The sequence below is a fragment of the Homo sapiens genome, chromosome 14, assembly GCF_000001405.40.
Source record: "Homo sapiens chromosome 14, GRCh38.p14 Primary Assembly".
Lineage (NCBI taxonomy): Eukaryota > Metazoa > Chordata > Mammalia > Primates > Hominidae > Homo > Homo sapiens.
The window spans coordinates 104,396,691-104,411,559 of NC_000014.9; the positions used below are offsets into that span (position 1 = coordinate 104,396,691).

General features: G+C 44.2%; 1 pseudogene, besides 2 other annotated features; it reads right to left on the reverse strand.

Moving 5' to 3' along the window:
• RNU6-684P (RNA, U6 small nuclear 684, pseudogene) lies at window positions 4,253–4,358 on the reverse strand (annotated as a pseudogene).
• Window positions 6,383–6,949: an enhancer, noted in NCBI's record as "H3K27ac-H3K4me1 hESC enhancer chr14:104869410-104869976 (GRCh37/hg19 assembly coordinates)". NCBI's record gives its function as "activates a minimal SCP1, AML or CMV promoter by ChIP-STARR-seq in primed H9 embryonic stem cells {active_cell/tissue: H9 hESC(primed)}" and the evidence as "EXISTENCE:reporter gene assay evidence [ECO:0000049][PMID:30033119]".
• Window positions 6,950–7,516: an enhancer, noted in NCBI's record as "H3K27ac-H3K4me1 hESC enhancer chr14:104869977-104870543 (GRCh37/hg19 assembly coordinates)". NCBI's record gives its function as "activates a minimal SCP1, AML or CMV promoter by ChIP-STARR-seq in naive and primed H9 embryonic stem cells {active_cell/tissue: H9 hESC(naive and primed)}" and the evidence as "EXISTENCE:reporter gene assay evidence [ECO:0000049][PMID:30033119]".

Consider the following 14,869-nt stretch of genomic DNA (forward strand, 5'->3'; position numbering starts at 1 on the left):
GAGCTGCACCTGGCCGTCTCAATTACACTGCTTCTCTGGCATCGGATAGGAACTCTATGGCCAACTTACCCACAAGGTGGTCTGCAATATCTTTGAATAAATTAATGATTGAATGAATGTCTTAGTCCATCCAGGCCACTACAACAAAACAACACAGATGGGGCAGCTTAACAGTGGACATTCATTCCTCACATTTCTGGAGGCTGGGAGTCCAAGGTGAAGGTGGCAGCAGGGTTGGCTCCAGAGAGGGCTGCTTCCTGGTCCCCGGACAGCCTCCTTCTTGCTGTGTCCTCTCATAGCAGAGAGAGGATGTTCTGTCACGGGCCCTCATGACCTCCTCTAAGCCTCATCAGCTCCCAGGGGCCTCACTTGCAAATACCATCGCATTGGGGTCAGAGCTTCCACATAGGAAACATTTGGTCTGTAGCAACGAGTGAATGAATCATTACAGATTTCTCTATAAGACCACCAGGTCTTAATGTATTCAAAGATATTGCAGACCACCTCTTGGGTAAGTTGGCCATAGAGTTCTTATCCAATGCCAGAGAGGCCGCGTAAATGAGACGGCCAGGTGCAGCTCACCTGGAGTCTGACCGCAGCTGAGGCCGGGAGAGAAGACCGACGACGTCTGAGTCGTCAATGTTGTGAAAGATCTCCAGAGTGATGAAATTAAGGGTATTTATTTCTTTAGTTGTTGCTTTTGTTGTAGCAAACAAAATGAAACAAACACACATGCACACAAAACGACCAAGCAAAAAGTGTCCGCTACTTGTTAAAGTGAACCTCTAGTAAAGTTGTCTCTCTTTTTGTCACCGAGGATGAGAAACAGAGATGGGAATTCTATCCTCATGGAAAACAGGAGGCACCCACAACTCTGAGCCCCTGAGAGTGTGAAGGCCTTGCCGAGTGACCTCGCTGCTCCAGGGCGAGGCGGAGGCCAGGCTGCGGGGCTGCACAGCCAGCCAGGGAAGCTCCCCGCCCCAGGACTGCCCTCCCACACACTGCAGACAGTTGTTTCGGGAAGAACTCACTTTATATGCACAAATAAACAATGACAGAAAGGAATGAAAATAGTGTCCACTGAAAACATTACAAGAAAAAGGAAGAAAATAATAGAAAAGGTAAAAAGCAAAGACACAAAAAATCCTCGCATTGGGGAAGATGATGGAAACCTTCTTAACAATCAGAAACTTAACGATCTAAATGAAAATGTCTTTCACGTAAAACAAAAGCCAAGACAGACTTCAATAAGAAACAAAAAGATGATAGGAGATTTCAAAAATAGGCAGGCAGAGCTCAAGAAAAGAAGCAGAATTTTAAAAATCACAAAATGAAGGCCACACTAGAATCAAAGAAAAAGAGAATAGATTCTCCTAAAACCATTGCCAGGGATGTGGAGTCAAGCTTGGAAAAAGTGAAAAAAATTCACCAGAAAAGAATAAAGAGTTGCGATGGTTTAGAGGAAAGGATAGAAAAGGAAAACACAAAATGCCGACACAACACACACATAATTGGTGGCCTTGCAGGAGAAAATCAAATATAAAAGAAAAATAATTCAAATAATTCAAGAAAATGTGGTGAAACTAAAAAAGATGAAATCTATGGATTAAGAGGGTATATCATGTTTCTACAAAAATTGGTGCACTTGATCAGCACTGAGACTTGGGGGTCAAACACGAAGAATTTGTTTGGCACCGAGGCAAAAATATGAAGGCCCTGACATGAGAAGAGAAGTCCAAGCTGGCTTCAGATTTTCTACGGCAACACCTCATCTTAGAGAAGAGGGAAATAATGCCTGCAAAATCTCCAGGAAAAGAAAGTATGAACCAAGAATTTTATATCAGAGTAAAATTTTAGAACAGAATAAAGCTGTTACTCATGCTGAATCATAAAAAAGCGCTTCTGAAAATATTCACAAATGGAGGAACTCTTGTCTACTGAAGTTCCTTTTAAATAAATAAATAGAGAATGAATTTTAGTCCACCAAAAGGCAAATGAACAGGCTGTGAAGGACTAGGTCAAAACAACTGAGAGACTTAGGCCGTGGAGCGTTAAGTAGTGTGGAGTGTGTCAGTGGAGACAGGCGGCAGAGCTTTGGTGGCCTGTGACAAATAAATCCGGACAGCTCCTCCTCTCCCTGTGGGTGCAGCCACTCACCCAGGAAGTCCACTTCCCTCCACCTGACTCTAGGCTGGCCTCATGGCTTCTTTGGCCAATCCAATGAGGCAGAAGGGGTGTCTTGTGAGTTCTGGAACCTGGGTCTTAGGGCGTGGTAGCTTCAATTTTCACTGTCATGGCAAATCCTGATGCCGGGGCGCCTTCTGATATGGTTTGAATAAAATCTCACCTGAAATGTGATCCCCAATGTTGGAGGTGGGGCCTGGTGGGAGATGTTTGGGTTATGGGGGTGGATCCCTCATGAATGGCTTGGGGCTGTCCCCATGGTAGTGAGTGAGTTCTCACTCTTAATTCACACAAGAGCTGGTGTTAAAAAGAGCATGGCACCTCCTCCTATCTCTCTTGCTTCCTCTCCCATCATGTGACATTCTTGTTCCCCTTCCACCTTCCATCATGAGTGGAAGCAACCTGAGGCCCTCACCGGAAGCCGAGCAGATGCCAGTGACATAATTCTGTACAGCTTGCAGAACTGTGAGCCAAATAAACCTGTTGTCTTTATAAATTATCCAAGCTCAGATATTCCCTTATAGCAACACAAAACAGAGTAAGACATCTTCCCTGCGCTGCTCCCGCCACCCCTTCTCCCCGGAGAGCAGCTTCTCGGAAAATCACCTGCACCTGAATCTTTGGCTCAGCATCTGCTCTGAAAAACTTGATCTAACACGGCATCTAAGATCCAAAGGAAGTTAGCTCAGCCTGACGCCAGCTTTCTCTCTAAAAGCACCCAATCCAAGCACATGGCCTGTGGCAGGATGTGGAAGCAATGCCCCTGGGTCTCAGGACACTCAGGGTAGGCAGGTGGAGAGCTCTTAGTATGGCAGGAGTGATGGGGGTGGGGGTGGGGATGCTGGAGGTGGTGCTGAGAACACAGGTGGCACAAAGACCCAGTCCACTCCTCCTGTGACCTTTGCCCTCCAGCTCCTGCCAATCAACTTCTCAGTCAGTGTCTAGGCCCAGCCCTCTATTGCCTCCGTGCTGCCATGGCCTCCCTGTCCATCTCCCAGGCAACAGAGGAGTCGGTCTGAGGCCTCCAGCCTCACAGCCAGTGTAGTTGCATGTTAGGTACCACTTCCATCCTCGGCTGTCAAAGAACAATGCTCCTTATCTGAAGAATGTGGTCTGGAGATAATTAGTTCTAACGGGACACAGCCCTGTGGCTGCTGTGGATGGGGCTTTGTTGTGGCTCAACAATGCCACCATCAGCCCAGATGTCGTGCACAGGCTTGGGCAAAAGGCAGGTGACTGCAGACTCACAGGGGCTCAAGAAGCACACCACATGGGAGAGCTGTGGAGATTCACTAAAGGATGGAACTAAACAGATCGACAGAGACAGACTAAAAAACAGCCTCTTCAGCCTTTGTCTGCAGTGTGCCTAATGCCTCCAGCCACCAGCAAATCAATAACAATAATAACAAAACCATCACCAGTGACGACAGGGGGCCCTCATCAGGCACTCCACCCATGAGGCACTCACAGTAACTCGATAAAGATGATGCAAATTACATATATCCCTATTCATAGGTGAAGGAAAGGAGGTGGGCAGTTTACCTGACTTGCTCCCAGTCCTGGAATTCTGAGCAGTGAAGCCGAGATTCAAACCCAGGATGCCTGGCTGCAAAGCCCACACATGTGCACAGCTGGCACCATACCCACCCGGTGCTGCCCACACATGTGCACCTGGCCCCATACTCACCCTGTGCTGCCCACGCAAGTCCCCACTGATATGGTTTGGATTTGTGTCCCCACCCAAATCTCATGTCAAATTATAATCCCCAGTGTTGGAGGAGGGGCTTGGTGGGAGGTGACTGAATCATGGGAGCAGATTTCCCTTTTGCTGTTCTCACGATAGTGAGTTCTCATGAGATCTGGTTATTTTAAAGTATGTTGCACCTCCTGCTTCCCAGTCTTCCTCCTTCTCTGGCCATGTAAAATGTGCCTCCTTCCTCTTTGCCTTCTGCCATGATTGTAAGTTTCCTGAGGCACCCCAGCCATGCTTCCTGTACAGCCTGCAGAACTGGGAATCAATTAAACTCCTGTTCTTTATAAATTACCCAGACTCAGGTAGTTCTTTTTTAAAAATTTTTTTCCTTTTAATTTTTCTTTGTCATCCTTGTACAGGGACCATGCTAATGTTCTCTGTACCATTCCAATTTTAGTATATGTGCTGCCAAAGTGAGCACTCAGGTAGTTCTTTATAGCAGTGCCAAAATTGGCACCAGGAAGTACCAGGAAGAGAAGAGAAGAGACCTGAAAATGTGGAAGCAGCTTTGGAACTGGGTAACGAGAAGAGGGTGGAAGAGTTTGGAGATCTCAGAAGAAGACAGGAAGAGGAGGGAAAGTTTGGAACGTCCCAGAGATTTGTTGAATGGTTGTGACCAAAATGCTGATAGTGATATGGACGGTTAAGTCCAGGCTGAGGAGGTCTCATATGGAAATTAGGAACTTATTGGGAACTGGAGTAAAGGTCATTCTTGCTATGCTTTAGCAAAGAGACTGGTGGTGTTGTAACCCTGCTCTAGGGATCAGTGGAACTTTGAACATGACAGTGATGATTTAGGGTATCTGGCAGAAGAAATTTCTAAGCAGCAAAGCATTCAAGATGTGGCCTGGCTACTTCTAACAACATATGGTCATATGCATGAGCGAGGAGATTATCTAAAACTGGAACTTATATTTATTAATAAAAGGGAAGCAGAGCATAAAAGTTTAGAAAAATTGTAGCCTGACCATGTAGTAGAAAAGAAAATCCCCATCAGGTGCAGTAGCTTATGCCTGTAATTCCAGCACTTTGGGAGGCTGCAGCGGGTGGATCACTTGAGGCCAGGAGTTTGAAACCAGCCTGGCCAACATGGTGGAACCCCATCTGTACTAAAAATACAAAAATTAGCTGGGCGTGATGGTGCACATCTGTAATCCCAGCTACTTGGGTGGCTAAGGCACGAGAATCACTTAAACCCAGGAGGCAGAGATTGCAGTGAGCCAAGATCACACCACTGCATTCCAGCCTGGGTGACAGCATGAGACTCCTCAAAAGATTTAAAAACAGAAAAACCCATTTTCTGGGGAGGACTTCAAGCCAGCTGCAGAAATTTGCATGAGTTGCTGAATGTCAACAGCCAAGACAATGGGGAAAATGTCTAAAAGGCACTTCAGAGACTTTGGCGGCAGCCCTCCGATCTCAGGCGTGGAGGCCTAGGAGGGAAGAATGGTTTCATGGGCTGGGCCTAGGGCTCCACTGCCCTGTACAACTTTGGGACACTGCTCCCTGTATCCTAGCCACTCCAGCTTTAGCCATGGCCAAAGGGCCCCAGATATGTCTTAGATGATGGCTCCAGAAGGTGCAAGCCATTCAGTGTTGGTGGCTTCCATGTGGTGTTGAGCCTGTGGGTACACAGAGGGCAAGGGCTGAGGTTTGGGAGCCTCTGGTTAGATTTCAGAAGATGTATGGAAATGCCTGGATGTCCAAGCAGAAGTCTGCAACAGGCCTGGAACTCTCACGGAGAACCTCTACTAGGGCAGTGTGGAGGGGAAATGTGGGGTTGGAGGCCCCACACAGAGTCCCCACTGGGGCACTGCCTAGTGGAGCTGTGAGAAGAGGGCCACTGTCCTCCAGACCCCAGAATGGTAGATGTACTGACAGCTTGCACCACGCACCTGGAAAAGCCACAGGCACTCAGCGGCACCCCATAAAAGCAGCCAAGGGGGCTGTACCCTGCAGAGCCACAGGGCTGGAGATGCCCAAGGCCTTGAGAGCCCACACCTTGCGTCAGTGTGGTCTGGATGTGGGACATGGAGTCAAAAGACATTATTTTGGAGCTTTAAGATTTAATGACTGCCCTGCTGCGTTTTGGACTTGCATGGGGCCTGTGACCCCTTTGTTTTGGTGGATTTCTCCCTTTTGGAGTGGGTGTATTTACCCAATGCCATTACCCTCATTGTATCTTGGAAGTAACTAACTTGCTTTTGATTTTCCAGGCTCATAGGTGGTAGGGCCTTGCCTTGTCTCAGATGAGACTTTGGATTGTGGAGTTTTGAGTTAATACTGAAATGAGTTAAGACCTGTGGGACTGTTAAGAAGGGATGATTGTGTTTTCCCATGTGAGAAAGACGTGAGATTTGGGAGGGGCTGGGGTAGAATAATATGGTTTGGATTGTGTCCCTGCCCAAAACTCATGTCAAATTGTAATCCCCAGTGTTGCAGGAGGGCCTGGTGGGAGGTGATTGGATCGTGGGGGCGGATTTCCCCTTGCCGTTCTCATGCTAGTGAGTGAGTTCTCAGGAGAGCTGGTTGTTTAAAAGTGTGCAGCATCTCCCCCCACCCTTCCTCCTTCTCTGGCCATGGAAGACATGCCTCCTTCCCCTTTGCCTTTCATCAGGATTGTAAGTTTCCTGAGACCTACCCAGCCATGCTTCCTGGACAGCCTGCGGAACTGTGAGTCGATTAAACTTTTCTTTATAAATTACCCAGTCTTGGGGAGTTCTTTATAGCAATGTGAGAACAGGCTAATACACCCACCTTGTAGCATGCCTATCTAGTGCTGCCCACACACATGCCCACTTTACTGTATGCCTGACTGGTGCTGCCCAGACATGTGCCCACCCTGCTGCATTCCCGCCCTGGTACCACTCAGACATGTGCCCACCTTGCTGCATGCCCACCTGGTACCAGGCCCATGCCGACCCTGCTGCATGCCCACCTGGTACAACTCAGACATGTGCCCACCCTGCTGCATGCCTGCCTGGTGCTTCCCAGACACGGGCCACGTTGCAGCATGTCTGCCCAGTGTTGCTCACACACATGCCCATCCTGCTGCATGCTCACCCAGTGCTGCAGGCACAGAGACAAAAAGCTCAGTCCTGCATTCAGAAGTTTCTGGTCCACTGGGGGCCAGTGTGGTTGCAGAGCTGTGAATAGCGCATGGGACCCACGGGGAGGTGGCAGCTCAGAACTTCCGTGGAGCCAGGGATGTGGGTGGGGATGGCTTCCCTAGAGGATCGCATCCAATCGTGTCCATGAATCTGAGCAAAGTGAGGGGGCCCCAGGAAGGGCAGGACAGGTGGGGGCATCCAAGCAATGCCAGAGCAGAGAGGGGACACAGGGCAGTTCTGAGGCACCTGCGAATGAGAAAGGAAGAAGGAAGAACCACATTCAGCCTGGGCGAGCACAGAGGTGAGAGGATTTGCTAACAGTGAGCAAAGGACATGGAGTCAAAAGGCCTTTGGTTTTGTTTTTCCTTCAGATGCAAAAGACTCAAGCATGTTTATGAATTGAGGGTAAAAGCCAGAGGAGTAAGTAAGAGGATGCTGGGGGAGCAGGGGCTTGGCACAGGTTCTGCTCCATGGCAGCAGGAGGGCAAGACTTGGATCGCATTAGAGCTCAACTGTGTGTTATTTACAAGGGACACTTAATACATTTTGATGTACGGCTTAAAAATAAAGGACTGATGTAGGCATTTGCAGCGGCAAATGTTGACAAAAAGTGCCAAGGAGTGACAATATTAGTATCCGCGGAAAATAAAGCACAAATCATTAAGAAGGACAAACAGACCAATTTATATTAATAAGAGTTATTATACCCCATAAAGTTGTGATGTCTAATACACAGCCGATACACACGTTAGATGTTTATGTGTCCAACATCGAATACCGAAATATATCAAGAAAACCTGTTAGATATATTAGGTAAATAGACAAGACCCAGCTGTAACGAGAAATTCAACACGGTACTGTTGATTCCTGTCAAATCAAGTGTACAAAATAAATAGGACTATCAAGAATGTGAATCATATAATTTGTAATGGAGATTCTATAAGTATTGTATATATGTCACACTTTACCCCTCCCTGTCATGAAATACTGCTTTTCCCCCATGAACCCATAGAATATAAGAAACATATGAAAAGTCTGTTTATCTCATTCGTTAGGGAAATGCAAATTTTTAAGAAATAAGCTATTGTTCAACTATCAGATAAGCAATATTAAAAGTATTCCAGTTATCAAATTTGGTGAAGATATGTAGAAAACATACTCCTCTCTCTGACGGTAGTGCTCATCACAGGCCTTCCCCCAGCCATGTGACCATGACTTGCTCTAATCAGTGATGGCTGAGCAGGAGTGGCAAGTGTCACCTCGTTACAGAGAAGCCAGCATGTGGTCCACTGTGCTTGCGTTTCTCCCTGTCACAGTGACCAACAGTGGCCCAGAGAGAGCGCCCTGCGTCTTCCGGGGTTCTGGAGTGAGGACTGTGTGGGGCAGAAGCACAGCCAACCACATGGACATGAAGCACGGGTGAAAAAAATGTCCTTGCTGTTGTGATCACTGGGGCTTGGGGGCCATTTGTCACCACAGCATCACCCAGCCCTTCATGATGGATACAGAAGACCATTGGGTGTTCCTATTAAAAGTCTAGATGCTTATAAAGTGCGACCCAGCAAATCTACTTCCTAGCAAACACCTTTAAGAACACCCGATGCGATTCTCCTCTGAGCAGCTAACTCCCATTGCCCACTGAGAACACACAGAAGAGCTAGTCAACACACAGAAGCAATCTGTTTAAAGGTGTCGGAGAACTGTGGAAGCAATGAGACTAGAGGGACTAAAGTTCAGAGAGCAGGGACCTCTGAGAGGTAAGGTGACGATCACAGCCACACTTTCCTGGGGCCTTTGCCAACCTCCCATGGCTGGAAGCTGAGGATCCAGGCATGGCCCAGCCAGAGGAACAGTGCTAGGGACAGGAAAGCAAGAAGAGCTTATAGCATCACTTGTGCTGGAGAGAGAGGGGTGGAGACTTAAAGAGCCCAGGCACACAGTCACTTGACATTTGCCAAGTTCTGAAGCTGCACCGTGTGAAAAGCTAAAATCTAAGCAGAAACCCTCTAACAGCAGAGCGGAGTGTCCCGAACACCACGTGTGCCAAAGAGACCAAGACCCTGGGCAGGAGGCTCCAGGGAGCCCGCCAGGCTCGCATTTGAACTCACTGAAGCGTTCCATGGTAGAGAAGAGGTGAGCCCAAGAATGTCCCCAGCTGTGGTTCTCAGCCACTCACTGGATCTGGAGGGTCATCTTCCCATTCTGTCTGCCTGCCAGAAGAATGGGTGAATATTTCCTGATGCAGGACATCATGTGTTCCTTGTATAGTTTGTGTTTATACATCATGTCCCACAACCAATAAAAAAAATTGCTAGGCATGCCAAAAGACATGTGGCTAAAAACCAAGAAGGAAACACACACACCAAGAACAGAATCAGTGGTGAGATAGTGGAGTAACAAATAAGGACCTAAAAATAACCAGGATGAAAACATGCAAAAAAATAAAGGAAAAGATGGGGAAAATAAATGACAACAGAAAATAATTTTACCAAAGAAATTGAATCCATAAAAATAACTAAATGGAAATTCAAAAGCCAAAAATTATAATATCTGAAATTAAGAACTCCATGGCTGGATCTAGCTGCACTTTAGATATAGCAGAACTCTGGGTTAAAGAACGAAATGAACAGTGAATTAAAAAAATCTAAACTAAAGCACACAGAGGCCACAAATGAACAGAAGAAAAGACACGTGACACCCCGTAAAAATGTCCATTCTATATGCAGTTGTACCCCCTAAAGGAGAGAAGGCACATTTGAAGAAAAGGGGATTAAGAACATTCCAAAATGAATGAAAGTCATCAGTCCACAGATTTAGAGAGTTCTGCAGCACCAAGCAAGATAAGTGCAAAGGAAACCACAGTTTGACACATGGTGGAAAAACTGTGGAAAAGGAAAAAGAGAAAACTTTAAGAGTGGCTGGAGAAAAATGATGTGCTGCCATCACAAAAGCAAAAAATAACATGGAGAGCTGAGTCCTCACCAAAACAGACAGCCAGAGACAGTGGGATGACAGTTCTAACGTGCCCAAATAAAAAGAGAAATGCAACTCAGGAGTCTATACTGGGGAACGTATGCCTCAGAAATGAAGACATTTCAGCAGAAATACTGGGAATTCATCACCACAGGCTTGAATGAAAGACATTCTAAAATGAGCACTTCCGATGGAAGGAAAATAACCTCAGACAGAAACATGGAAATAGAAAGAATGAGAAGGCGGGGGGATGTAAATCCTGGTGTAAATATAATAGACATTCACTATGTGCGACAGTAGCAGTGATGAGTACATTTAAATGCAGGGGGAGGGTGACGCACAGGCTGGCAGTAGCTGGAGCTCCGGCACCTCAGTTCTGGCAGAGCAGGAAATGGGCAAAGTCTCCATTCACATTGAACCCTTATATGCTAGTCAAGGATGAATGCTGAAATCTCTAGGATAACTGTGAAAAAAATAGTGAAGGAATGTATACCTAGCAAGATGAGAGGGGAAAAAGGAATAATGGAAAGATTTCAGTCATCTTAAAGAAGGCAAGACGTGGAACACGAAGCAGATGAGTCAAACAGAAAACAAGTAGCAAGGTGACAGCGAACCAAACACAAAGAAATTGTGTTAAAGACAATGGGTGAAATACCTTGAGGAAAAGGCTAATAATGTCAGATGGCATGCAAAAAATAAAACCTAGTTGTAAGGCACTTAAAAGACACAGTCCTTGATATGGTTTGGCTGTGTCCCTACCCAAATCTCACCTTAAATTGTAATAATCCCCATGTGTCAAGGGCAGGGCCCTGTAGAGATACTTGAATCATGAGGGAGTTTCCCCCATACTGTTCTCGTGTTGGTGAATAAGTCTCACAAAATCTGATGGTTTTATAAATGGGAGCTCCCCTGCACAAACTCTCTTGCCTGCTGCTATGTAAGACGTCACTTTGCTCCTCATTCGCTTTCCACCATGATTGTGAGGCCTCCTCAGCCATGTGGAGCTGTGAGTCCATTAAACCTCTTTCCTTTATAAATTACCCATCCTCGGGTATGTCTTTATTAGCAGCATGAGAACAGACTAATACACTCCTTATATACTTACATAAGGGTGTCAATGAGAAGAGTCAAACTCTGTAAAATATTTGAAGAGATTTATTCTGAGCCAAATATGAGTGACCATGGCCCATGACACAGCCCTCAGGAGGTCCTAAGAACATGTGCCCAAGGTGGCTGGGGCACAGCTTGGTTTTATACATTTTAGGGAGGCATGAGACATCAATCAAATACATTTAAGAAATACATTGGTTTGGTCCAGAAAGGTGGGAGAACTGAAAGTGGGGGGAAGGGTGGAGGGCGCAGGCTATAGGTAAATTTAAACATTTTCTAGCTGACAGTTGCTTGCATTTGTCAAAAGACCTGGGATCAAATGGAAATGTTCTGGTTAAGATAAAGCATTGTGGAGACCAAGGTTCTTTTAAAGTCTTACAGAGGCTGCCCTTGGAGGCAATAGATGAAAAATCTTTCCTGTTCGCCTTTAAAGGGTGCTAGACTCCCAGTTAATCTCTTCAGGATTGGGAGGGCCTGGAAGAAAAAGATCTAGCTATGTTAATAGAGATTCTTTACTGATGCAAATTTTACCCCCACCAAGGATGACTTTGCAGGGCCATTTCAAAATACGGCAAACAAACATGGTTTAGGGTAAAATATTTTGATTTTCTACTTTGTCATGTAATGTTATGCCAGAGTCAGATTGGAAAGTAAGTCACTCACGATATGTACGGTTAAATAAATTCCATCTGATGAGAATTTATGGTTTGTAGGGCATGACTCCCCAGACTCCTTAGATAGATAGGAATTTGGGCAAGTTAAAAAAATCAGAGCTTAGTCCTCAAGGGCACAAAGCAGGTTGAAAGGACAATAAATGGGAAAGGTAGAATATGTAAACACCAACCAGAAGAAAGCAAGTAGAGTGATAGAAATGTCAGACAAAACAGGTGTGAAGGTGAGGTGCCTTGCTCAAGACCGACATGGGCATGTACTGAAAGAATCAACACTCCAGGAAGCTATTACAGCCCCAAGTAAGCATCAATGCATACATTATGTGAAACAAAAATTGACCAAACTTGAAGAAGAAAGAAATCCATGTTCATACAGAGAGACTTTAACCTGCCTCTCAATGCCTCAATGGCTGATTTAATAAGCAGACAGAAATATCAGTAAGGATATGGAAGTTCTGAACGACGCAGTTGACAAACCTGACCTAATTGACAAGTGATTCAGACCGCTGCACTGGCAACAGCAGAACCCACGGTCTCTTCATTAGCACACAGGACATTCACCAAGATTGTCGCGTGCTGGATCGTGGAGCAAGTCCCAACACATTTCACGGGATTGAAATCATTCAGAGTTTGTTCTCTGTCCACCATGGAATTAAGCTGGATATAAAAACATAAATACAACTAGAAAATCTCCAAGTGCTTGGGAATTAAGCCATATGCCTCTAAATCATAGGCCACAGAAGAAATCACAAAGGAAATTAGAAAACACTGTGGACTGTTGGATAATGGAGATACAGCATATTGAAATTGACAGGTGCAGTTAAAGCAGTGCTTAGAGGGAAATTTATAGCCTAATACGCACATAGTTAAAAAGAAGAAGGCTGAAAATAAATGATCTAAGCTTCTATCTGTAGAAGCTGAGAAGAGCTAAGCCTAGTAAGAGGGGAAGGAAGAAAATAATAAACATATGACAAAAAACCCAGTGAAATGGAAAACAGATGTACATTTTGGGAAATTCACAAGCCAAATTTGGTTATTTAAAAAGATTAATAAAATGGATGTATCCCTAATAAAAGTGATCAAGGGGAATAAAAGAGAGAAAACACAGCCAGGCGCAATGGCTCATGCCTGTAATCCCAGCACTTTGGGAGGCTGAGGCGGGTGGATCACGAGGTCAGGAGTTTGAGACCAGCCTGGCCAACATAGTGAAACCCCATCCCTACTAAAAATAAAAAAAAAAAATTATCCGGGCGTGGTGGCATGCGCCTATAGTCCCAGCTACTCTGGAGGCTGAGGCGGGAGAATCACTTGAACCCAGGAGGCGGAGGTTGCAGTGAGCCAAGACTGTGCCATTGCACTCCAGCCTGGGTGACAGAGTGACAGAGTGAGACTACGTCTCAAAAAAAAAAAAAAAAAAAGAGAAAACACAATAAATAATATCAGGACTAAAAAGACATTAACAAAATAATGAGAGGATATTATAAAAATTTGAAGTAAATACAGTTGACAATTTAGATTAAAAGGGTAAACCCTCTTTCTCCCAAAAACACAATTTATCAAAAGTGACAGACAATATTTAATGTGAATAGTTTGATATTTCTTAAATAAATTGTATCCACTAGTAAAATGTTTCTCATCAGTAAAACTCAAATCTCAAATTTTATCAGTGTATTTTTCCAAACATTTTGGGAAGAAATAACACTGATCCTACACAAACCATTTTATGGAATAAAAAAATGAAAGAATGTGTCCTAATTCATTTTATGAGGCCAGTATAACCTTGATATGAAGGCCTCACACAGACACGAGAAGAAAGGAGAATAATAGGCCAATGTCCTTCGTGAACATTCACAGGGAAATATAGGCAAATTAAATCAAGTGATACATAAAAATAATAGTATATCGGAACCATGGAGGAGGGTTTAATATAAGAATGCAAAATTAATCAATGTAATTCAAATTATATAAAACAGAGACATTATAAGTCCATCCCAATAAATCCAGGATTTGATAAAATCTAATTTCATGAAAAAATTGTTTGCAATTTGGAATAGATGTCATTGATCTTCCTTAAACTGATAAGAGAATACGCTAAAATCTTACAGTAAATATCATGACAGCAGGAATGGGGCAAGAATGTCCACTATCGATATTTATTTCTCTTCCACATAATAGTGTAGTTTGTAGCAACTGCATTCAAGCAAGAAAAATAAATTAAAATATAGGAAATAAAAAAATCAAATTGACGTATTTTGCAGATGCCATGGCTAGTACATCGAAAAGCCAAACTAATGATACACTTTTTAAATTAAGAAGTAAATTTAACAGTCACTAGTTGAATTTTTATGTATTGTAACAAAAGTTGGAAAATTAAAAATTAAAGCCCACTATTTACAATAGCATTAAAAAATCTAACATCTATGACATCTATGAGTAAATGTAACCAGAGATGCATAAGACCTCTACACTGAAAATTACAAAATAGATTTTTTTTTTTTTGAGACAGGATCTCGCTTTGTCACCCAGGCTGGAGTACAGTGGCCCAATCACAGCTTACTACAGCTTCGACCTCCCAGACTCAAGAGATTCTCCCACCTCAGCCTCCTGAGTAGCTGAGACAATAGGTGTGTGCCACCACACCCTGCTAAATTTTTTTTTATTTATTGTAGAGAAAGGGTCTCTTCGTATTTCCCAGGTTGGTCTTGAACTCCTGGGCTCAAGTGGTCCTCCTGCCTTGGCCAAGGTGCTGGGACTACAGGCATGAACCACAGCGCCCAGCCTTGAAAATTACAAAATAGTTTTGAAAGAAATTAACAAAGACATAAATAAATGGGAAATTATATTATGTTCATAGATCAGAAGAGTAAATGTGAATTCTGAAAATAATTTACAATCAATGTAAGTTCTGATCAAAATCAAAGTTTTTTTCATAAATTGATAAGGCTGCATCAATCATGAAGAACAAAACTGAAGGATTTGCTCTACCAGATGTCATAACCTGCATTGTCAGTAGATAAAATGGCCAGTGTTTGGCACAAGAGTGGATTGATTTACCACTGTAATAAATT